The sequence below is a fragment of the Homo sapiens genome, chromosome 1 (assembly GCF_000001405.40).
Source record: "Homo sapiens chromosome 1, GRCh38.p14 Primary Assembly".
NCBI classification, from domain to species: domain Eukaryota; kingdom Metazoa; phylum Chordata; class Mammalia; order Primates; family Hominidae; genus Homo; species Homo sapiens.
Genome location: NC_000001.11, coordinates 161,749,360 through 161,774,138, shown reverse-complemented (window position 1 = coordinate 161,774,138; position 24,779 = coordinate 161,749,360). Strand labels below are relative to the sequence as shown.

The window sequence follows — 24,779 nt, the reverse complement described above, 5'->3', positions numbered from 1 at the left end:
TTAAAATGAATTGATGCTTTTTAAAAATAAACATTTCCTCATTCTTAGGAAATACATGGTGAAGTGTTTAGGAGTTTCATATTATCTGCAGCCCACTTTCAGATGTGAAAAAGGAGGAAAGTGTGGGTAATATTAAGATATAAAGTGAATGTGGCACGATGTTAACAGTTGGTAAATCTAGATAAGGAAAACGCACGTTTATCAGTGTACTGATCTTTTGACTTTTCTGTGGTTAAAAAAATAACTGAAGGTGGGTTGATAAATATACTCGTATATTTATAGAACATTCCAAAAGAATCCATAAGAAACTGTTAGCATCAGTTACCCCAAAGTATCCTAAAACCTATTGCCTATTTCTATATCCTTTGCACCAGTCCCACACTATTAGATTTCCCTCAACAGTAGTAAATAATGGTAGTTACTATTTTTAGTGTACTCAACAAACTTTCCCACCTCACCTCCACCTTGCCCATTTATTTATTCATTTACTCCTTATAAGTTTAATAAGATCAGACACAGTCACTGGGTTTAGCAATGTGGAAATCAGTAGTGCCCTTAAAAACAGCAGTTTCAGGCCAGGCATGATGGCTCACGCCTGTAATCCCAGCACTTTGGAAGGCCGAGGCGGGTGGATCACATGAGGTCGGGAGTTTGAGACCAGCCTGGCCAGCATGGTGAAACCCCATCTCTACTAAAAATACAAAAATTAGTGGCTGACGCCTGTAATCTCAGCACTTTGGGAGGCCAAGGTGGGCAGGCGGATCATGAGGTCAGGAGATCAAGACCATCCCGGCTAACACGGTGAAACCCCGTCTCTACTAAAAATACAAAAAAAAATTTAGCCAGGTGTGGTAGCAGGTGCCTGTAGTCCCAGCTACTCGGAAGGCTGAGGCAGAAGAATGGCGTGAACCTGGGAGGTGGAGCTTGCAGTGAGCCGAGTGAGCCACTGCACTCCAGCCTGGGTAACAGAGAGAGACTCCGTCTCAAAAAAAAAAAAATACAAAAAGTAGCCGGGCATGGTGGCAGGCGCCTGTAATCTCAGCTACTCAGGAAGCTGAGGCGGGAATCGCTTGAATCCAGGAGGTGGAGGTTACAGTGAGCCAAGATCGTGCCATTGCACTCTAGCCTGGGCAACAGAGCAAGACTCTGTCTCAAAAAAAAAAAAAAAAAAAAAACAGGAGTTTCAGTGGAGTGGTGGCACCTGACTGGACTGGGTTCAAGAGACAAGGAGAAATAAAAAACTAGAGTCAGTGAACGTGGACATTTTTTAAAAGGAATTCTGCTGTAACATACAGTAGAGAAATGCAGTAACAGCAAGAGGTGAAGTAACATCTGAAGAGAGTTTTGAGTTTGTTGGTTTTGTTTTTTTTTTTTTTAACTCTAGCTAGAGTACTATCTAGATATAGAAACAGTACTTCTAGGAGAAACAACAACATGTTCATTTACTGACAGAGATGATCTAGTAGAGAGGGGAAATGCTGATGCAGGAAACAGGAGGAAGAATAGCTTGAGCAATATTCTTGAACAAAACAGGAAGAATCTAAAGCACATATGGAAGGACTGGCTCTAGCTAGGAGCAAGAAGCCACTCATTCTCACCAACAAAAGAGAAAGCAAACATGTTGATAGGTGGGTAAATGAGGTAGTGGGAGACTGTAGAAGTTCTCTTCTGATTCAAAGGATGGGAGAGATGTTGGAGGTTTGAAGATAGAAGAAACTTTATAAAGCAATCATCAGAATGGGACAGTGAGAGGACCAGGGAAATATGATTGGTCTGGCAACACTTAAATTGAGACCAGTCAGGACAGTTGAAGTGTTTTCTTCAGCTGATTCAGCTATACTAGGACAGGCATGAAGTGGGCAAAACTGAATTTAACTAATAGGTTTATCCAAGAGAAACCTACCAGAAAAGAGACAGACATGAATATGAAAGGTGAAAGGAAGGAAATAGTGACAATGACTGTCCATGGTATTTAAACTGGGTAAGAGGGACGTGATGAACTGAAGAGAATGAGAGACACTGGAAACATGGCAAAATCTCAGAAGGACTGAACAACTATTGAAACTGGAATACTAAAGGAAGTAAGCTGGTAAAACAGGCGAAGGCAGTCAGAGCAGGATGTTTGAAAGTGAGATGTTATTGGTAGTGACAAGACTTAGGCTTATGATCAGGAAAGCAAATGGCTGAGACTGGGTAAAAGGTAAGATCAGTGATAAAGAGGAGGTCCAGAAAATGACAGGTCAGTGTATCTGAAGGATCTTCTCTAAGGATACTGAAATCATCCAAGAATCATGATGGAAGTAATGGTGAAGAAAGTAACAGTAAGCTAGTGGCAAAATGTTTTCAAAAAGCCAAAAAGAAGCCAGGCATGGTGGCATGTGTCTGTAGTCCCAGCTACTCGGGAGGCTGAGGCAGGAGGATCCTTTGACCCCAGGGGTCTGAAGATGCAGTGAGCTGTGATTGCTCCACCGCATACTCCAGCTCCAACCTGGGCAAGAGAACAAGACCCCATCTCTAAAAGAAAAAAAGAAAAGTGAAAGAGAGTGATCCAGGAATCAGGAGAGGTAGAGGATGGGATATTGTGACAAAATGAGATTTCAACTTAGATATTTTTAGGGAGGAGGAAAGGAGAATAGCAGTGAAGGACAATGGAGACACCTATCCCACCAACAGAGGCCCTATGGTGAAAAGGTTTTGAGAATAAAATTAGCAACCGTTCACCGGGGCATTACGGGAAGTTGTGTCATCCAGGAGCACCAGATTTTGATTTAGTGCTAGAAAGCCAAGAGAACCTTCACAGAAGAGACTGAAGACATAAACGAAACCACAGTGGCAGACGAAAGCTTCTGATCTTGATACACATATCTTAAGTACAGCTGACAGAAGAATAAAGAGAAGGAAAAAGGAGAAAGGAGAAAGGAGGAGGAGGAGGGAAGAAAGAAGAAAGCAGAATAAAGCAGCTTTTGCACAAATTCAAGCAAGAGTAAAAGAGAAGAGAGAAGGAGAGAGGAGGGTAAAACATACAGACGGCAAATAAGCATATGAAAAGATGCTCAACATCATATGTCATCAGGAAACTGCAAATTAAAACATACCACTACACACCTATTAGAATGACTAAAATCCAAAGTACTGGCAACACCAAATGTTAGCAAGGATGTGGAGCATCAAAAATGCTCATTCATTGCTAGCGGGAATGCAAAATGGTATAGCCACTTTGGAAGACAGTTTGGCAATTTCTTACAAAACAAACAAAAAACATGTTCTTACCACACAATCCAGCAATTGTGCTCCTTGATATTTACCCAAACAATTGGAAAATGCATGTCCACACAAAAACCTGCACACAAATGTTTTCAGCAGTTTTATATATAATTGCCAAAAGTTGGAAGCAACCAAGATGTGCTTCAATAGGTAAGTGGATAAGCAAACTGTGAATTTATGGCCTAAACTGTGTCCTCCAAAATTCGTATGTTGAAGCCCTAACCCCAAATATTACTATATCGAGAGATACAGTCTTTAGGAGGTAATTAAAGTTAAATGAGGTCATTAAAGTGGGGCACTAATCTGATAGGACTGTGGCCTTATAAGAAGAAGAAGATTCTCTCTCTCAGTGCCATGTGAGGACACAAGAAGAAGGCAGCCATGTGCATGCAAGCCAGGAAGAGAGCCCTAACCAGAACCTGAAGGTGCGGCCATCTTGATCTTGAACTCTAACCTCCAGAACTGGGAGAAAATAAATTTCCATTGTTTAAACCACGCAGTCTGTGGTGTTGTCTTATGGCAGCCTAGGCAGACTAATAGGCTATAGAACATACATACTATTTTTTGTAACACTGTAAATAGTATTTTTGTAATACTATTTAGTGCTAAGAAGAAATGAGCTATCAAGCCATGAAAAGACATGGAGGGACCTTAAGTGCATATTGCTAAGTGAAAGAAGCCAATTCAAAAATGCTACATACTGTATGATTCCAACTATATGACATTCTGCAAAAGGCAAAACCATGGAGACAGTGAAAAGATCAGTGGTTACCTGACCAGAGGTAGGGAAGAGGAAGGAGGAAAAAATAGGTAGAGCATAGGGCTTTTTTAGGGCAGTGAAACTATTCTATATAATACTGTAATTATGGATACATGTCATTATACCTTTGTCAAAACCCATAGAACAGTGGTTCCCAACCCTGTTGGGAACCAGGCCACACAGCAGGAGGTGAGCAGCAGGTGGGTGAGTGAGCGAAGCTTCATCTGTATTTACAGCCACTCCCCATCACTTGCATTACCGCCTGAGCTCCACGACCTGTCAGATCAGCAGCAGCATTAGATTCTCATAGGAGTGTGAACCCTACTGTGAACTGCACATGTGAGGGATCTAGAGTGCACGCTCCTTATGAGAATCTAACGCCTGATGATCTAATCACTGTCTCCCATCACCCCCAGATGAGACCATCTAGTTGCAGGAAAACAAGCTCAGGGCTCCCACTAATTCTGTATTATGTTGAGTTATATAATTATTTCATTATATATTACAGTGTAATAACAATACAAATAAAGTGCACAATAAATGTAATGCACTTGAATCATCCTGAAAACATTTCCTGTGCCTCCCTGTCCCCACCTCCTGTGGAAAAATTGTCTTTCATGAAACCAGTCCCTGGTGCCAAAAGGCTGGGGATCCCTGCCATAGAATGTACAACAGAGTGAACTTTAAATGATGGGCTTAGTTAATAATAATGTATCAATACTGGCTCATCAATTGTAACCAATGTACCACACTAATGCAAGATGTTACCAATAGGAGAAGCTGGGGATGAAGGGGAAGTATGTGGACTCTTTGTACTATCTGCTCAATTATTGTGTAAATCTATAATTATACTAAAAAAGTAGGCTTATTATTTAAAATAATTATGTGAAATTCAAATTTCAGTGTCTATAAAGCTTTATAGAAACACAGCCATGCTCACTTGTTTATGCTGTCTCTGGCTGCTCCTGCACTATCACAGCAGACTTGAGTAGTTGCAACAGTGACCATGTAATCACAAAGCCTAAAATATTTACTATCTGAACCTTTACAGAAAATGTTTGAAGACTCTTGCTCTAAATTTCATTACCTAAGTTAAAAAGAAAAAGGAAAGCACATCCCTCACAGGCTGTTCTGAGTTAATCACTTTATTTAAATTATTTAGAGTTGTTAAAATCACAGGACATACTAATTACATAATCTGATTTTTAAATTTTAACTAGATAGTGTCTAATATTAAAAAAAAATCAAGGCTAGACACAGTGGCTTGAGCCTGTAATCCCATCACCTGGGAGGTTGAGGCAGGATGACTGAGGCCAGTTGGAGACCAGTCTGGGCAACACAGCAAGACCCCTGTCTCTACAAAAAATTCAAAAATTAAAAATTAACCAGGCATGGTAGCGGTGTGCACCTGTAGTCCTAGCGACTCAGGAGGCTCAGATGGAAGGATCACTTGAGCCCAGGAGTTCCAGGTCACAGTGAACTATGATTGCATCACCGCACTCCAGCCTGGGCGACAGAGCAAGACCCTGTCTCTAAAAGAAACAACAACAACAACAACAAAATCAAGTAAATCAGTGAAGTACTTGAACATCCAAAACAGCAACTGTCACAGAACGAAACACTATCAGACAGTAGTGTTTCACTCTATTGCCAACAAAATCTATCCTACTTACTGAACACCTAAGGAATTAAATTAAAGTCTTCAAAGAAGAGAAGACTGTTAACAGTTTGAAAAGGGAAACCTGGAAAACAATGGAAATGGGCACATTCAGGGAGGGACAGGGCAGGATACCCGATAGAAGTGAGTCGGTGAACTGACTACAAAGAACTGAATGCTCTGTTAGAGAACATTAAGTCAAGTGATCAGATAAGTCTGGAAAATGCAGCCTGGGTATCAGAAGACGACATAAAATTATGCTACCAGGAAGTGTCCCACAGTTATACTTTAAGAAATGTCACTGGCCGGGCACAGTGGCTCACACCCGTAATCCCAGCACTTTGGGAGGCCGAGGTGGGCGGATCACCTGAGGTCCAGAGCTCCAGACCAGCCTAACCAACATGGAGAAACCTCGTCTCTACTAAAAATACAAAATTAGCCGGGCGTGGTGGTGCATGCCTGTAATCCCAGCTACTCGGGAGGCTGAGGCAGGAGAATCGCTCAAACCCGAGTGGCGGAGGTTGCGGTGAGCCAAGATTGCGCCATTACACTCTAGCCTGGGCAACAAAAGCGAAACTCCATCTCAAAAAAAGAGGTAAAGAAAAGAAATGTCATGAAAATATAATAGCTGACTAGCTGACAAAATAAATCATAACTACCCAATATATTCAAGTAGTCTTATTAATAACCAGGGATCTTAGGAAGAATAAAATCTGTAGACATGAGTTAGGAAAGCATTATAGAATAGATGCTAGGGGTACAGACTTTGGAGGTAGAAAAACCTGGTCTGATCCTTCTTCTGCCACTAACTAGCTCTAAGAATCTGAGCACAAATTCTGTTAGCCTCAGTTTCCTCATCTCTAAAATAAACAGTACCTCATTGGACTGTTGGTAGGATTAAACAAAATACTTCATGTCAAGAGTTTAACAGGGTCCCTGACACAAAGAGCTAAATAAATGGTTACTGTCACTAATGCATTTGGCTTGGGAAAATGGGAATAAAAAATCTTAAGTTTTCCAGCAACTCTTAAAAAATCTACCCAAGGATTAAAATAAATCTCCAATAGAATATAGTTTTAGAGAACATCTGTCCTTGAAACAATTAAATGACTTTGTTCAATAAAAAGTTGAGATTCCTTCCACTCCTGCTATTGAGAATGCTGATCCAAGGGAGAAAGATAAACTGGGTTCCCCCCAGTTCCAAGGCTGATGAGTGGTGTAGGCTCACTAGCGGGCCCATTTGGGAACCTACACAATCCCAAATTCATATTGGAACCTAAGAACAATATTACTATTATATCTTGCAATCAAGAGGAGAATAAAAGTCTCCTCTAAATACTTAGATAACAAAGTTTCTTCATTCTCATTTCCACTTCATCCCATTCCACCCTTCCTGACCACCAAAACCAAACAAAATATCCATTAACAAGAAAATTAAGAGCTGTATCTGGAGAGCAGTCAGGATTACACCATAAGTATTAGGTGTAGCTAAGCAGGGACCCGAGGTCAGGTGCTTGGGTGTTTTGCTTTTCTGCCAAGACGGACATCAGGCTTAAACCAATAGTAAAAGCTGTAAGATTAGAATTTCTTGTATATAACCACATTCTCTCATATACACCAAACACACAAAAACCCACTCCATTGTGCTCACCGCCCACATTTCACACTCAGGAAATAGCTTGTAGCCTTTTTGGCGGTCCCAGCCATTTTGCTCTAAACCTCCTAAAGACGTCCAGTGTTAGCCACACAAAAAGATCACCCGGTACTTCCCCAGTGGGAATAGTGAAAAACGACAGTTAACTCCAGTTAGACAATATTCTACTCTCCCTGTGGCCAGGACAGAAGCCGAACGATACTCCCAGACTCTTCCAGGGGCACGAACAGGAGTGACGAGGGGCCTCACTCCCCAGGCAGGGTTGGTCCACACCTGTCACCACGAGTGGGCGGAAGTAGGGAGGAAGAAACCTTTAGACGCGAACCCGAGCCACCCTGGTACATTCTCAGATCCCACTCACCCCAATCTTCATCCAGCCTGTGAAAGAGTCCCGGGCTAAAAGGTGACTCCATGGTGCCGGCAACCCCAGCCGGCTCCCCCATTTCACAAGTTCCTTCTCCCTGGAACTCCGTGATTAATATCTGGGACGGCGGCGGCAGGCGGACAAAATACTCCGTAACGCTGACGAGACGGTGGCCTAGTAAAGACAAACTACTTTTGCCGCACGAGGGATTTGTACGACACAGGAAAACGTCAGAGACTAAGCAAATTTGAATAGACCTCTGAGTAAATATTTCCCTTTTGGAGTTTTCAGGACTTTCTGTCCCGCTGTTTTATGGGGAAGGCGGGGGAAGACACGCAGACATCAATTCGACTAAACAAAGTTTATCAATAATATTAAAAATAAAAAGTAAAGCCCCTTTCTGAACATTATGGCTTATTCCTTGATTATCCTTCTTAATGCCACAGCGTGGCTATCTCAGAACAAAATTAGAGACTAACAGTAAATTTACTTTAATTTTTACGAATAATTCTCTATCAATGTAAAAATTTTTCATATACGCGTGTATGAAAGAAAAACACTACTATTTTTCCACATTCGTGAAAACTGCTTAACTGGGACAGTAACCGAGGTAAGTGGTACTATAAAACATACTTCTAGAAAGACTACTTTTATTTAAATAAATTGAAACAAAGCAAATATAAAAAGATAAACCCCCCAAATTTATCTCCTAAAGATAAATTTCTAAAGCATAGTATTTAGTCAAAGTCCAAGCGAGTCTACCCTAAGACCTACAGTAATCGAAGTTCCCAATATTTGTATTACTAAAGATTCGGGTTTTATTTAAAGGAAAATCACATACATCACGAACTCCAACTGAAAATATGAACTGAGTTTGATAAAGCAGTTTCAAGAACGCTACTTAAGAGAATTTCTTTTTCATCCATTTTAAATTTCAGCGGCCAGTGAATATTTAAAATACTGTAACCGACGAATACGTATGCTTCTAGGACCACGTGGAATCTTTCCCATGGTAGGTAAGCAAAACAAATGTGCTTCCCAGAACCCTCCAAACTGCTCGTGGGTATATTACTACAGATTACATAATGCAGCAGCGTTCCGGGACGCAAGCCCAGAAAAAGATAATTAAATCCCCTTACGTCAGATGTAACTACTTTTGTCATTAGAAAACTAATAAATTTTCACTTAAGGTGAAATTTATAACACTTTAATTCTCACCCAATTACAAATTCAAAAATTGACATAAAAAACTAAAATAAGGCCGGGCGCGGTGGCTCACGCCTGTAATCCCAGCACTTTGGGAGGCCGAGGCGGGCGGATCACGAGGTCAGGAGTTCGAGACCAGCCTGGCCAACATAGTGAAACCCTGTCTCCACTAAAAATACAAAAAGTTAGCCAGGCGTGGTGGCGGGCAAGTAGCTGTAATCCCAGCTACTCGGGAGGCTGAGGCAGGAGAATCGCATGAACGCGGGAGGCAGAGGTTGCAGCGAGCGGAGATCGCACCACTGCACACCAGCCTGGTCGACATTGCGAGACTGCGTCTCAAAAAAAAAAAAAAAAAAAAAACCTAAAATAAAATAAAATCATCGAGTCTTCTGTATCCCACTAGACACCTTAGTCTTTTAAGAAAATCACCATGACAAATCGCCAATTTTTTTAATTTCCAAAAGATTTTATTTTTATTCAAAAAGTGCAAGTAATTATGAAACAAACATTTGTGACCTATCACCAAGAATTTAAAAATTTAACATTTTTCATTTTTGTCCCAGATTTTTCATAAGAAATTAAATACTACAGAATTGAATTCCTCTTTCCTCCCTGCTTCATTTTCCTCCCTTGGCGTAGGCCACTTCTACCATGAATTTTATGGGTATAAAATTTTATTTTATAAAAATAAAAGTGTAATTCTAGTCCACTTTTATTTTTAGTTTTACGGTGCTTAAACATGTTTATAGACACATGCATTTAGTGTCATTTGGGTTTTTTTAATGTATGTAAACTTTAATGTTCTCCAAATCATTTTTCTTATTGGATATTAAGGATCTACCCATGGTATTTCCTTGAATGAATCTCAATTTCTCTCTCTCTCTCCCTCTTTTTTTTTTTTTTTTTTTTTTTGAGACAGGGGCTCACTTTGTCCCCTAGGCTGGATTGCAGTGGAGCCATCTCAGCTCACTGCAGCTTGACCTCCCAGGTTTAAGCGATCCTCATGCCTCTCCCCACAATAGCTGAGACTACGGGAACCCACCACCACACCCGACTAATTTTTGTATTTTTTGTAGAGACAGGATTTCACCATGTTGCCCAGGCTGGTCTCAAAACTTCTGAATTCAAGCAGTCCGCCCGCCTCTGCCTCCCAAACTGTTGAGATTACAGGCGTGAGCCACCGCACCCAGCCTCAAGAATGTCTTAAATAATGTATGTACTATTTTATCAGTTTACACCCTCACTAGCATTGATGAGTTCTCTTTGTTCCACATTCTCTCCAACACAAGATATGGTCAGACTCTTACCATTTTTACCGCTGTGAAAATTGCAATTTACATTTCCCTAACAAAGTGGTGCATTCTTCCATACTTATGAAACCTTATTTCCTCTTCTGTGAACTGTCCACTCTTACCTTTTATAAAGTTTGCTATGGAGTTTTCTTTCACAAATGATGTGTACGTCATTAGATAGCCTGCTCTATTCATTCACCTGTATAAAGTAAAACTAAACTCCTAAGTCCGCCACCAACAGAATAGGCCCCCTTGTGGCCAAGGGGATCCTAGAAAACCTTAAAACTGAGTTCTAGACCACGATGGGACAGGTTAGACACACCTTGTTATACTCCCTCCCTTTTGTAGTTTAACACAACAACTGGCCAGCATTAATGTTAAAACAGAGATGATAAGACTGACAGAACAGACTCTGGCAATAAGATGCCAAATTATAAAAAAGACCTAAAGCCATTCCAGGCAAGGTTTTAGTCCCACACCCCTATACTTAAAGAATAAACTGTGTTCTAACTGCCACAAGATTCTTCTCTAGCAGCTAAACAAGTACTGGCCTAAAGATAAACAATATTAAAATAATGTGCAGCTCCACGAGATGCTGACTTACTGACCCCCAGTCCCCGTTCCACCAGCCATAGCTACAGCTTTCATTGGACAACTTTTTGTTGATTTCAGTAACTTTCTCCAGGTAAGAAGACCACTGGCCATGGACTGGTTCTGGCTGGTCTACAGAGGTCGCACATTTGCATGGCTTCATGTCCTGAAAGACCTTTTGACGTATAGGGCTCGTAATACATTTAAATGTTAAGTCTTGGCTGGGTGTGGTGGCTCACGCCTGTAATCCCAGCACTTTGGGAGGCCCAGGTGGGAAGATCACGAGGTCAGGAGCTTGAGACCAGCCTGGCCAACATGGGGAAACCCCATCTCTACTAAAAATACGAAAATTAGCCAGGCGTGGGGGCAGGTTCCTGTAATCCCAGCTACTCAGGAGGCTGAGGCAGGAGTATCGCTTGAAACCGGGAAGTGGAGGTTACAGTGAGCTGAGATCACATCGTTGCAGTCCAGCCTGGGTGACAGAGCAAGACTCCGTCTGAACAACAACAACAAAAAAGTTAAGTCTCCATCCCAAAGTGAATATGGGTCATATGTTACATGAGTTTTTGTTCAATACGCATGTGTCAGGACCACTTTCATGAATATTCATAGCTCTTCCTGTAACCTGGTGAAAATGTAGGTTTAGCCAACCTGTTCAGCCTGAACTACACTCCAAGCCCTCCTCCTTCAAAGCGCCTGTTTCTGGAGGCACGCTTCCCAGCCTGCAGGATGGCCACCTTGCAGGCCATAAAGTCTCCCCTTCTTTTCTAAATTTATTCATTGTGGGGCTTTTTAATATATACATTTTTAAAAGAGAGAGAGAGACAGAGTCTCGCTTTGTTGCCCGGGCTGGTCTCAAACTCCTAGGCTCAAGCTATCCTTCTGCCTCAGCCTCCCAAAGTGCTGGGATTACAGGCATGAGCCACCGCACCCAGCCCATTGTTGGGCTTTTTTAAGTTAACGCTTGGTATATGTTATAAATACCTTCTCCCAGGTTGACACTTGTCGTCTTTGTTTACGGTGATTTGTTCTCTAGATTTTAATTTCAATGTAGTCAAATTTATCAATCTGTTGTTATGATAGCTGACTTGTAGCTTTCTTAAGAAATCCTTCCCTCTCCTGAGGTCACTAAGATTTTCATTTTCATTTTCATAGTTTTATAGTTTTGTTTTTCACATCTTTTTTTTTCTATTTGGCTATTATTGGGGTATAGCAACACTGTGGATTTTTGTACAGCAATCTTGTACCAAAAACCTTGTTGAATTCTGTTATTCTAGTATTTTGTCTGTGCCAGGAACAGTGGTACACACCTGTAATCCCAGCTTCTTGAGAGGCTGAGGCAGGAGGATTGCTTGAACCCAGGTGTTCAAGGCTAGCCTGGGCAATATAGCAAGATTCTGTCTCTAAAAAAAAAAATCATATTATGGTAGATGGAAACTAGTATGTGATAAAATAAAAATGACTTTAAAAAAATTTGTCTAAAGTTCTTTAGGATTTTTTATTTAGCAGAACATTATGCAAACACCAACCTTTTAAATTCTATTTTATTTAATGTTTTAATTTGTAAAATAAACTTAGTATGAAAATTTTCAAACAAATACAAGAGATGATATAATAAATCCCTGTGTTCCTATCATCCAGCTTCAGCTTAAACAATTTGCCATTCTTGTTTTATCTATCCTACCTCTCCTCTCCACAACTTTTTTCATTTTGTTCTGTGTTTTTCCCAGAATTTTTTTTTTTTTTTGAGACGGAGTCTCTCTCTGTCACCCAGGCTGGAGTGCAATGGCGTGAGCTCGGCTCACTGCAACTTCTGCCTCCCACAATCAAGCGATTCTCCTGCCTCAGCCTCCCAAGTAGCTGGAATTACAGGTGCCTGCCACCATGCCCAGCTAATTTTTGTATTTTTAGTAGAGATAGGGTTTCACCAAGCTGGCCAGGCTAGTCTTGAACTCCTGACCTAAGGTGATCCACCTGCCTCGGCCTCCCAAAGTGCTGGGATTACAGGCGTGAGCCACCTTGCCCAGCCTTCCTGGAGTATTTTAAAGCATATCTAGATATATTATTTCACCCATAAATACTTCAATGTATATCTCTAAGAGACAAGGCCTTTTTTTTTTTTTTGAGATGGAGTCTTGCTCTGTCGCCAGGCTGGAGTGCAGTGGCGTGATCACTGCAACCTCTGCCTCCTGGGTTCAAGCGATTCTTCTGCCTCAGCCTCCCGAGTAGCTGGGACTACAGGCGCGCGCCACCACGCCCAGCTACTTTTTGTATTTTTTTAGTAGAGATGGGGTTTCACCATGTTGGCCAGGATGGTCTCGATCTCTTGACCTTGTGATCCATCCGTTTCAGCCTCCCAAAATGCTGGGATTACAGGCATGAGCCACTGCACCTAGCCTGCCTTTTCTTATTTTTAAAAAACATACTGATAATCCCATTATCATACCCAACAAAATTAATAATTCCTTAATATCATCTGATACCTGTTCCATGTTCAGTTTTCTGTCTCAAAAATGCCCTTCCTTCCACAGTTAGTTAAAATCAGGATCCAACAAGATTGTCACATTGCATTTAGTTCACATGACAATTCCCTCTCCATTTCTTCCCCCCTGCCATTTGTTGAAGAATCTAAGTCATTGGTCCTATAGAATTTCCCACTTCATGATTCTGCTGATTACATCTTCATGGTGATGCTTAATTTGTTCCAGAAACTGCCAGTGACATCTAGAGGCTTGATTAGTTTTTGGTTTTTTGTTTGCTTTTGCAAGAATACTTCATAGGTACTTCCTTGCATCATAGCAGAAGGCATATACATACTGTCCCACTTTTAGAGATGTCGAGATTTATTAGTGAGTTCAGATTTTTTTCCTACGTCTTAAACTGTTTAGCCCCTTGTTTTACTGCAATGGTTAGGCCCTCTAATACGATACAGAAGGTAGGGGCTAGACATCTTTTAACTTACTTCTAAATTTTAATGTGAATGTTTGAAAAGTTTTACCACTAAATAAGATTTTTTCCCATATATTTTTCACAGCTGCTCTGATTAAGGAAGCTTCCTTCCACTCTAGTTACCAGGCTTTTCTTTTTAAATCATTAAATGTTGGATGTTATGGAATTCTTTTTCTTGAATCTACTCATTCATTTTCAACTTAAACCCTTGGAATAGAAATACAATTTGAAAAAGAACCTTATGTCTAGAGACAATACCACTCTTTGGTCTAGGTAAGAGGAGCCCCTACCCTGGACCGACACTTTAGAAGACTTTACTCTGACCTCTGGCTCTGCCCCACAGGATAAGAATCCATACTGCCAACGTGATGTGCCCAGCTAGAACAGATGCCCCCTTCTAGAAGTGCATCTAACACCCAAATAGCCCAAATAGCTCCAAGCCGGCTTCCAGGGCTTGCTCTGGCCTCATACCTCTTACGAGTGAAATGGGCTAATGGTATACACCAGGGCTGTAGCCAGATCTTATACATATAGGTGGGGGACCCACATATATATATATGCACCAGGCTCTTCATGATGCAGAACAAATCAAGGGGTGGGGAAATAAAGGAGGCACCCAGTGGGCGGGGGCCACCTCTCCCTGCATTGCCATGCTTTGTCATGGAATCTGATAAAATCAGAGAATTCTGAATTCAAACCTGGTCTGACAGGTCATTATGAAGGGATATTTGTCAAGATAATAGAATAAAACATTTTATTTAACAGATAGCTTGATTTATAATTTTATTTTTTTAAGACAGAGTCTTGCTCTGTCGCCCAGGCTGGAGTGCAGTGGCGCGATCTCGGCTCACTGCAAACTCCGCCTCCCAGGTTCAAGCAATTCTCCTGCCTCCCCGCCTCCCAAGTAGCTGGGATTACAGGGGCCCACCACCATGCCTGGCTAATTTTATATTTTTAGTAGAGATGGGGTTTCCCTATGTTGGCCAGGCTGGTCTCAAACTCCTGACCTGCAGTGATCCACCCCCCTTGGCCTCCCAAAGTGCTGGGATTACAAGCGTGAGCCACTGCACCCGGCCAATTTATGTTTTAAAAGTTAAGACACTCATGCCTGTAATCCCAGCACTTTGGGAGGCCGAGGCGGGCGGATCACGAGGTCAGGAGATCGAGACCACGGTGAAACCCCGTCTCTACTAAAAAATACAAAAAAATTAGCCGGGCGTGGTGGCAGGCGCCTGTAGTCCCAGCTACTCAGGAGGCAGAGGCAGGAGAATGGCGTGAACCCGGGAGGCGGAGCTTGCAGTGAGTCGAGATTGCGCCACTGCACTCCAGCCTGGGCGACAGAGCAAGATTCCGTCTCAAAAAAAACAAAAACAAAAACAAAAACAAAGTTAAGACAAATAGTATATAGGCCTCGATGTGTACTATTGTTGGAACCCTGCAAATGGTGGGGAGCATGACTAGTGAATTTACAACTTAATTAACATTGCATTTGATCCATACTATTTGATTTTATAATCTGATCAACAGTGTATGATGGATAGGCATTGAGTCATATTAAACTGCAGCTATGTAACTACTTTTTACCTACAAAAGGGGTAACTTCATGTGCCGCAAACTGTTATTATTTTTTAAATAGAGACGGGGTTTTCACATATTGGCCAGGCTGGTCTTGAACTCCTGGCCTCAAATGATCCACCCTCCTTTGTCTTCCAAAGTGCTGGGACAGGCATGAGCCACCACACCTGAGCTCCTCAACCTGTTTGTTAAAACTTTCTAGAGAATAATATATGAATAGAGAATAATAGTATGAAGCAAAAAAGTAGATTTTATGAAAGCTAAAACAAATGGAGTAATTTTTTCTCAAAAGAAAAAATTATGGCAGAGAGCGGTGGCTCACGCCTGTAGTCCCAGCACTTTGGGAGGCCGAAGTGGGTGGATCACTTGAGGTCAGGAGTTTGAGACCAGCCTGGCCAACATATGGAAACCCCATCTCTACTAAAAATGCAAAATTAGCGAGATGTGGTGGCTACTTGGGAGGCTGAGGCAGGAGAATCGCTTGAACCTGGGCAGTGGAGGTTGCAGTGAACCGAGATCATGCCATTGCACTCCAGCCTGGGCAACAACAAAACTCCATCTCAAAAAAAAAAAAAAAAAATAGAAAGAAAAATTATTACATGGAAACTGCCAAAGCCTTCAGGTCCAATGTTAAGATTTTTCTCAAGAATTTTCCATAACACTCCTATACCTTTAAAAAACTGAGCTAGGCATTTATTAAGAGGATCATTATTCACAACATATTTTTGCATTTAAAAATTACTCCCACTACGGTGTTTATGTATATAAGCCTCAATGTGTACTATTGTTGGAACCCTGCAAATGGTGGGGAGCATGACTAGTGAATTTACAACTTAATTTACAACAAAAATAAAGAATATTTTTCTTTATTAATTCTTGTTCTTTTTTGGAGTAGCCTCCCAAGCAGCTGGGACTACAGGCGTGTGCCACCATGCCTGGCTGATTTTTTTATTTTTAGTAGAGACAGGGTTTCACCATGTTGGCCAGGCTGGTCTTGAACTCCTGACCTTAAATGATCTGCCTGCCTTGGCCTCCCAAAGTGCTGGGATCATAGGCATAAGCCACTGCACCTGGCCTTTATTAGTTAATTCTGATTCTTGTAAATGTTCAAATATCTAATTAGGTCCAATTGTAATTATTAATAATGAGTAAAATAATTCTAGTTTCTATACATCAGGTTAAAAAACTAATCTGGACGTATTACCTTTTCCAATACTCACATATTGGGCTACAAAATGACTTGATATATAGTAACTCTACATTTGTTTTCTTCATCATTAGAAACACATCTAACATTTATGTATTTCTTTATGTAGATCACTTCAAAAGGGATCTCAAACACTTTTCTAAAAATATAGATAATTGGGATTACTGAACAGTAATAGGAAAATTGCCTTTTAATCAGCGTTTTACTAATGGCCTTTCCATTTCCAAGAAAAAAATCCAGACATGTATGGGTTTACTAATGTCCCTTAAAAGAAAGAAAGTGAAATAATTCCAAAATATGTCCAAACAAATCTGCTTTATGTGTCTGGAAATAAAAGAATACCCATTTAAATATAATAGTTTCAAATTTTTGTACATAATTTTGTCTATACAGACCTTAAGATCATATAACATTCCAACAATCAAAACTTTTAAAAATATATGAAACACAGACAGTATCTGGTTATAAAAGATTTTAATATCAAATAAAATGTACATGATCAAAAGGCTTTGATTGCCATGTAAAGCATAGTTTCCAGGTTACATCAAGTGATTTTATCTTCTCCCATTTCAAATGAAATGTTGAAAGCACAAACAATCTGCCATGAATGATAAGAAGCAAAGGCAGCACATATCATCTGCAAGTTTCTTCCCAAGCTATAAAATATCATGTTCATATTTTTCCTGTTTGTGATCCCAAAACAGGCAATATTTTCATTTCATCCACTCTATTCTTATGTATTTGAAAAGCAGGTGTTATCCACCTACCACAAGAGCACTGTTCACCATACCAGTTGAAGGAACCCAACTTGGCACTGCATTTTGGGCAAAGAAGCTGAAATAAAGCAAATGTGTTACTTTATTCATTCACTTTTATACAAAACAAATCATTATCTTTGGCAATCAATATAGGATATAAAAACAAGACACGATCCCCACGTTGAGTTTATAATCTAATCAGTGAGATAAAATGCATTGGAAATTTACTGTAATAGATAGTAGACTACAATTATCTCATAGGAAGAATGTTGTATTCAGGGAGCTTGAAGGGAGAAAAGTGAAGCTTGAGATTTGATTAAGGAAGGTTTCATGGATGTGGCATATATATATATATATATATATATATATATATATATAGCTTTTAAATCAGTTTGTAATTTAGGACTTCAAATGAAAATGATCACGGCTAAAGTATAGAAAAGCATGTTAGGATTTTCATGCTGTATTACTAACTGTGTGTATTGACAGCATATAAGTCAGATTCTTAGCTATTTAAAGACAAACTGATATTCCAGGAAAATAGGTAAATCAAAAAAGCCTAATAAGGCAACTGCATTTTCTTCTAATGTAGTTAGTTATAGCATTAATTTTTATGTTTAGCTCTTTGATTTATGCATGGTATAAGGTAAGAGTTTTTATTTTTAATCTTGAGCTATAGAAAACTAGACATAAAACTCAGAAGCAGGCTGAGTGTGGTGGCTCATACCTGTAATTCCCAGCACTTTGGGAGGCCAAGGCGGGCAGATCACCTGAGGTCAGGAGTTTGAGACCAGCCTGGTCAACATGGTGAAACCCCGTCTCTACTAAAAACACAAAAATTAGTTGGGCATGGTGGCGGATGCCTGTAATCACAGCTACCTGGGAGGCTGAAGCAGGAGAATATTTGAACCCAGAAGGCGGAGGTTGCAGTGAGCCAAGATCACACCACTGCACTCCAGCCTGGGCAACAGAGCAAGACTCCGTCTCAAAAAAAAGAAATTCAGAAGCCATAAATAAAAAAACTAACAAATTTTATTATGTAAATATCCTTCATTTTAATATGACAAAACATAAAAAATCTGATAAGCAATAGACTGAAGAAAATAGTTGCAATATATTAGATGAACTATTAACATCTAGAATATATAGAGGTCCTACAAATGAGTAAGAAAGAGACAAAACCCATAGGCAAATGGGCCTAGGAATATGAAAGCAATTTATAGAAAAGAAAACAGTAAATGGCTGGTAAATATATAAAGATGGTGGTTGATGACTATTTTCATAAAATTCCAATTAAACATTTTAGGATTAACATTTTTTACCCCACAGACTGACAAAATGTTACCAGTTTTATAGTATCTATTATGTCAAGGATATGGAGTAACGGGTACATGCATTCAGTTACTGAAAACCAAATTTGTATGGGCATTTTGAATATCAGCCTGGAATATCACTAATATTTAAAATACATTCTTCGAGCCAGGAATTCCACTTCTAGGTACATATTCTACAGAAAAAAATCAAATATGTATACAAATAAGTATGCACAGGATTTAGAATCTTACATAAAAATGTATTTAACTTGGCTGGAGTGTGTGTGTGTGTTTCCCAGGTTAAGTAAAATTAGAAAGCCAGAATCACAAGCCACAAAAAAGAAAAACTGATAAATTAGATACCATCAAAATTAAAATCTCTAACTGCTACAAATAATACCATCAAGAATGGGAATTGCAGCTGGGCATGGTGGCTCACGCCTGTAATCCCAGCACTTTGGGAGGCTGAGGCAGGTGGATTACCTGAGGTCAGGAGTTCGAGACCAGCCTGACCAACATGGAAAAACCCCGTCTCTACTAAAAATACAAAATTAGCCAGGCGTGGTGGCGCATCCCTGTAATCCCAGCTACTCAGGAGGCTGAAGCAGGAGAATCACTTGAACCCGGGAGGCAGAGGTTGTGGTGAGCCAAGATTGTGCCATTGTACTCCAGCCTGGGCAACAAGAGTGAAACTCCGTCTCAAAAAAAAAGAATGGGAAGAGTGGGAATGTGAATTGTGATGTGATACGGTTTGGTTCTGTGTCCCCATCCAAATCTCATCTCAAATTGTAATCCCCAAGTGTGGAAGAAGAGAGGTGATTGGATCATGGAGGCAGATACCCCCATGCTGTTCTCGTGATAGTGAATGAGCACTCATAAGATCTGATGGTTTTATAAGTGTTTGACAGTTCCTCCTTCACATATGCTTCTCTCTCCTGCCGCCTTGTGAAGAAGTGGCCTGCTTTCCCTTCTGCCATGATAATAAGTTTCCTGAGGCCTCCCCAACCATGCAGAACCATGAGTCAATTAAACCTCCTTCCTTTATAAATTACCCAGTCTCACGTACTATCTTTATGGCAGTGTGAAAATAGACTAATACACGATGGTTGCAAAAACCACTGTGAATACACTTTAAAAGCCACTGAACTATACACCTTAAATAGGTAAATTGCATGTTATGTGAATTATACTATAATAAGGCTGTTTTTTTTAAAAAAAGCAGCATTATCCGAAAATGTGAGTTTGATTATATGGTACCACTTTCTAGGCAAGACACTACTCATAAACAGTTTCCTCATGCACAACACGTGAATATAACTGCTCTACCTATTTTATAAAGCTATGGCATTCTTCAAATGGTATAATACAGTGAAAGGGTTTCATAAACTAGCCACTATACAAACTTTTATACAAACCATACAAACTTTCAAAATCATTATTAAGATGATTATTATAGAATACCTTCACATTAATATCAAGTAAACCTAAAGGAGAAATGTGGCTGTCATGGCACACTCCAACCAAGTTAAACACTTTTTTATGTAAAATGTCACATGAACTGCATTCTTTTTTTATTTCCCTACCCACTGGTTACAGGAGCAATAGGATGAGCTGCATTATTTAACTGGAAATGAAAAAGAATCTCATAGCAAAACAAACTAAATTTCACTCTCCTAAAAGATAAGAAAAAAGAGAAAGACACATACAGGAAGCCAACAGAGAAAAAGAAAGACAGAATTTTTAACCTAATTTTAAAATCCCTGATTTACCCTATCTTGTTACAAAGTTCAAATTTTGTTTAATACATTTTTTCTTTTCTTTTTTTCTTATTAAAAATTTTTTACTTTCTTTTATAGAGATGAGGTCTCACTATATTGCCCAAGCTGGTCTCGAAACCCTGGGCTCAAGTGATCCTCCCGCCTCAGCCTCCCAAAGTGCTCAGATTACAGGCATGAGCTAATGAGGCAAGAGTGCCCAGCCAATATATTCTAATTAGTTTAAAAATAAATGTTAGTCTTATATTTGAAAAAAATATAAATAGCCTTAAAGGAAATTTATTAACTTAGACCAGGGCTCTCAACCAGAAGTAGTTCACTATGTTGGATCAGCTGGTTTTTGAAAAATATTTTATTTTTGATAGTCTTATCTACACTAGAAAGATATAATCTTCAGAAATAAAGAAATTAAGAAATGGAGCAAAACACTAGTTAAAATAGAGCTTAAAATGCAAGAAGGAATAAAATATAGATCATAAAATAAAATTGTAGAAAATAAAATGTGTTCTCACCTGTCCATCCATCACTCCCAACAAAGCAGATTCCATCCACTGTACAGGTTCAATGAAATAAGATGTACATTGAGCTTGCCTCCCTGTGGTAAGCATGGAAGATGGTGTCATTCTCTTGTGGGCAAAGGCTATAGGTCCACTTCCTTCACGGTGATCCAGAATACTAGAACTTCGAAATAATGATCGCCTGCAACCCCCAAACAAACAAAAGCATTAATGACTTCCAAAAGGATGAAAACATGGATGAAATGTGCGGTATTTCTTTTTTTTTTGAGACAGAGTCTCACTCTGTCGCCCATGCTAGAGTGCAGTGGCGTGATCATGGCTCACTGCAACCTCCGCCTCCTGGGTTCAACCAATTCTCCTGCCTCAGCCTCCTGAGTAGCTGGGATTACAGGCACCAGCCACCATGCCCAACTAATTTTTGTATTTTTAATAGAGACGGGGTTTCACCATGTTGGCCAGGCTGGTCTCAAATTCCCAATCTCAGGTGATCTGCCTGCCTCGGCCTCCCAAAGTGCTGGGGTTACAGGCGTGAGCCACTGCGCCCAGCAAAATGTGCAATATTGCTTAGAGAACAAAATAATGTAACATTGATTACACTACTTAAATTTTCAATAACCCTTACAATCTGATTATTTCTCTTTTTAAGAATTTATATTCTTTCTGAAAACAGATCTGAACTAAAAATTTCAATTAAACAAAATCTTCCTACAGAAATTTAAGAAAATAAAACATTAAGTACTTTTCAGCTACTGAGACAAGATAAAATATCCAAAGGATATAAAATAGTTTACCTGCACTTTCTACACTTGTAGAGAACCTCATCTTTCAATCCTTGTGAAACGGTAGTTGGGTCAACAGCAAAGAGTTCTTGAGGTAAATTCTGCAATTCTATATGACATAATTAAAATGTATTTATTTGTCAAAATCAACTCTGCATTTTCAGATAAATTCAGTTAATGTCAAATTGAGGCAACAAGTGCTAACCTCAAAAATTAAAAAAAAAAAAAAATCAAATTCCAGTGTTGAGAAATCAGGCTAAGGTAGGAGAGGACAGTGATTTAAGTGCTTAGGTTCTGGGCACGGGCTGCCTGAATTCAAATCCTGACCCTGCCATTTATAAACCATGTGATTTTGAATAGGTTATTTCTGGCTAAATCAGTTTCAAAAAGAAACAATAGTTTCTCAGGGATTGCTGGAAGTAAGGTAAAGCATACAATGCTAAAGTAAATGTCATCTAGAAAGCCCATTACACACTAGCAATTATTACTTACCTGGATACTTCTCTGTAACCTTTTGTAAACGATATTGCTTATAAATTGCACTAGAGGTATCCACTTCGTATCCCATTGCCTGGTATAATTTCAGTTGCCACTCAAACCCCTCATTCATCCTGTAATGATAAAGAAATATAAAGTTTCATTTTCTTAAAATTATATCACAAAAGCATAATTATTACTATAAAAAAAGAACCCACTTAGCCTCTGGTTTGAGAATCTGGAGCTTTTCATAGGCTTTTTCAAAGGGAAGTTGGTCAGTCTTCATGAGAAAAGCAGTTATTATGGCCACACTTCGACTGACTCCTGCATGACTGAAAAAGAGACCTTTAAAATAAAACAGCAAATAGCAACAATTAAAAAAAAAAACACACAAAGCCCAGCCCCCTATTAATAGTAAAGTTTAGGCCCACTTCATTTTTGCTTCTCAAATAAGCCCATTGCCTCTGAAATATTATCAAGGTACAAAATAATTATTCCTTTTTCCTTTTGAATTCTGAACCACGTGAATCTATTACCTATTCAAAAATAATAACAGTAATTTTTAAAATTTTTATAATGGCTCAGAACAAATCCAAACTCCTGGCTAGACACAGTGGCTTACCTACGCCTGAAATCCCAGCACTTTGGGAGGCGAGGTGAGAGGATTGGTTGAGTCCAAGAGTTGGAGACCAGCCTGGGCAACAAAGTGAGACCCCACCTCTACAAAAAATTAGCCGGATGTGGTGGGGTCTGTAGTCCCAGCTACTCTGGAGGCCGAGGCAGGAGGTTCACTTGAGCCTGGGAGGTTGAGACTGCAGTGAGCCGTAATTACGCTACTACACTGTAGCCTGGGTGACAGAGCAAGACCCTATATCAAAATAAAAATAAATAAAACAAAACAAAAACAAATCCAATCTCCTTTCATCTTAGCATTCAGGGACCTCAAAATCTGGTCCCAGACTTCTTTTGATTTCATCACTATCTTCTTTTATGTGCTCAATAAATTTAAACGATTATTATACTCCAATCCAACCAAGAACTGCTTAGGGATTCCCATTTTCTTTTTTTGGGGGGAGGGATGGAGTCTCGCTCTGTTGCCCAGGCTGGAGTGCTGTGGCATGACCTCGGCTCACTGCAACCTCCGCCTCCCAGGTTCAAGTGATTCTCCTGCCTCAGCCTCCCGAGTAGCTGGGACTACAGGCGAGAGCCACCACGCCCGGCTAATTTTTGTATTTTTGGTTTCACCATATTAGCCAGCCTGATCTCGAACTCCTCACCTTGTGATCCTCCTGCCTCCCAAAGTGCTGGGATTACAGGCGTGAGCCACCGCGCCCTGCGGGATTCCCATTTTCTTTTTGTCTTTGCTGCAACCATCTCCTCCCTAGGCAAAGCCCAGGGATCCTTTAGATCCAAACCAATTCATCTCTTCATCAACCACCCGCCACCCATCCCAAACAAAAACATTTAACCCTAAATCTTTGTAAATCCCGTTTACAAGACACCAAGCAACCTAATCTGCATTACAATAATCGGGGTGGGTGTCTAGCTTCTCCAACAGAGCTGTAAACTCCTTAGGGTGTAGGTAATTTGTCATTTATCAGATGACACCTCCCCCGCCCTCTGCTGCTGCAGGAAGAACCAACTAAAGCATGAATGAATGAAAGCCTGCACACACCAGGGGCCCGCCTCAACCCTCCTCCTCTCTTGGAAACACGCCTCCTGCGGGAGGCAGCGGGAGGAGGTTCACGCGGCATGACCGCGCTCTTGTCCTCCCGACGGCCTCGGAAGGTAAGGGGCGACGGGGGCCGGCTGGAAGCTTGGCGGGGCACGTCACCCACTGACCCGGCCACTCACCAGTGCACCAACACCGCACGGCCCTCAGCGCGGGCCTGACCGATGAAGGCCACGCACCGGTCCAGATGGCTGAGTAGGTCCGTCTCGGGTTTGTCCAGCGCTGGCACGAAGAGGCGCCATAGATCCTCGACCCCAGGCCCCGCCTTGAAGCTGGGCTCCTCCGAGTCCACTGTTAGCACGGCCGTGATGCCCGCTTCCCTCAGGTGATCTGGCTCCGCGACGGCCGCGGCCCCACCGAAATACAATCCTGGCTGCACTTCCAGCATCTGCCCGGCACAGCTGACTCTGCTGGCGCTGGGGTTGCTGAGCTCGCAGCCATCACTCGGGCCCGGAGCCTCCAACATGGCCGCGCCCAGAGACAAGGCGGCTTCCTGCCCTACCATCGAGTAGACTCCGGCTAGAACATCCTTCCCCTGGGACTCGCCAGCCTCGGCGGCTCTGCTGCTCCCTCGGAGGACCACGTCGGCCGCAGGAATCTGGACTTATCGCTGAGGGGCGGAGCTTCGGCCCCATTCAGCGCGGCCTTTCCACCCTTGTTCCCTCTGACCCCTACCCCCAAAGTTGATGGTGAAGGATAAGCTTCCCCAAATACAGGGTTTCTCGAGCTCTTAGTATTGAAATTTTCAGGAAAGAGACATCAGGAGCAGCTGAACTCAAATGTGAAATAAATGTCGCACCAGCTGAATCAGAAGCATCATTTTATGCATTTGAAGTAAAATTTTTTTCAATATTATGGAGCCATCTTTACTGTGCATTTCATGATTATTTTTCCTTTTTCTGCCCAAT

General features: G+C 40.8%; 2 protein-coding genes and 2 long non-coding RNA genes across 11 annotated transcripts in view, besides 5 other annotated features; 1 reads left to right on the top strand and 3 right to left on the bottom strand.

Annotated features, from left to right (window-relative positions):
* ATF6 (activating transcription factor 6) overlaps window positions 1-7,819 on the bottom strand; it is a 197,751-nt gene extending 189,932 nt beyond the window's left edge. For all 6 annotated transcript variants that reach the window (NM_001437597.1, XM_011509309.1, NM_007348.4 and 3 more), the window contains exon 1: window positions 7,697-7,819. In NM_001437597.1, the coding sequence (NP_001424526.1) occupies window positions 7,697-7,778 (82 nt within the window). In that variant the 5' untranslated portion in view covers window positions 7,779-7,819. The remainder of the gene's footprint in view (window positions 1-7,696) is intronic.
* LOC124904444 (uncharacterized) lies at window positions 1,524-7,690 on the bottom strand. The gene is made up of 2 exons (XR_007066695.1): window positions 7,333-7,690; window positions 1,524-5,111 (listed from the first exon to the last, which is right to left on the bottom strand). It is a non-coding gene; the product is annotated as an uncharacterized LOC124904444 (long non-coding RNA).
* Window positions 7,812-7,891: an enhancer, noted in NCBI's record as "active region_2007". NCBI's record gives its function as "activates an Ori minimal core promoter by ATAC-STARR-seq in GM12878 lymphoblastoid cells {active_cell/tissue: GM12878}" and the evidence as "EXISTENCE:reporter gene assay evidence [ECO:0000049][PMID:35858748]".
* Window positions 7,922-8,001: an enhancer, noted in NCBI's record as "active region_2006". NCBI's record gives its function as "activates an Ori minimal core promoter by ATAC-STARR-seq in GM12878 lymphoblastoid cells {active_cell/tissue: GM12878}" and the evidence as "EXISTENCE:reporter gene assay evidence [ECO:0000049][PMID:35858748]".
* ATF6-DT (ATF6 divergent transcript) lies at window positions 7,992-10,356 on the top strand. 2 transcript variants are annotated; one of them, NR_187279.1, is made up of 3 exons: window positions 7,992-8,309; window positions 8,638-8,711; window positions 9,982-10,356. It is a non-coding gene; the product is annotated as an ATF6 divergent transcript (long non-coding RNA). The 2 variants fall into 2 exon arrangements; NR_187280.1 differs by having other exon boundaries at window positions 8,638-8,715.
* Window positions 9,541-9,710: an enhancer, noted in NCBI's record as "experimental_482 CRE fragment used in MPRA reporter constructs". NCBI's record gives its function as "activates a minimal promoter by MPRAs in K562 erythroleukemia cells, with activity observed for both the introgressed and non-introgressed 1:161734304 variant alleles {active_cell/tissue: K562}" and the evidence as "EXISTENCE:reporter gene assay evidence [ECO:0000049][PMID:34662402]".
* Window positions 16,901-24,353, bottom strand: DUSP12 (dual specificity phosphatase 12). Of its 2 annotated transcripts, none has more exons than XM_005244862.4 (6): window positions 23,994-24,353; window positions 22,358-22,484; window positions 22,155-22,273; window positions 21,675-21,771; window positions 20,878-21,064; window positions 16,901-17,353 (listed from the first exon to the last, which is right to left on the bottom strand). In XM_005244862.4, the coding sequence occupies exons 2-6, from the start codon at window positions 22,423-22,425 to the stop codon at window positions 17,192-17,194; spliced, it is 633 nt and encodes a 210-aa protein (XP_005244919.1). In that variant the 5' UTR covers window positions 22,426-22,484; window positions 23,994-24,353; the 3' UTR covers window positions 16,901-17,191. The 2 variants fall into 2 exon arrangements, with proteins under 2 accessions (XP_005244919.1, NP_009171.1); NM_007240.3 differs by having other exon boundaries at window positions 22,358-22,471.
* Window positions 23,337-23,983: an enhancer, noted in NCBI's record as "NANOG-H3K27ac-H3K4me1 hESC enhancer chr1:161719946-161720592 (GRCh37/hg19 assembly coordinates)". NCBI's record gives its function as "activates a minimal SCP1, AML or CMV promoter by ChIP-STARR-seq in primed H9 embryonic stem cells {active_cell/tissue: H9 hESC(primed)}" and the evidence as "EXISTENCE:reporter gene assay evidence [ECO:0000049][PMID:30033119]".
* Window positions 24,045-24,554: an enhancer, noted in NCBI's record as "active region_2005". NCBI's record gives its function as "activates an Ori minimal core promoter by ATAC-STARR-seq in GM12878 lymphoblastoid cells {active_cell/tissue: GM12878}" and the evidence as "EXISTENCE:reporter gene assay evidence [ECO:0000049][PMID:35858748]".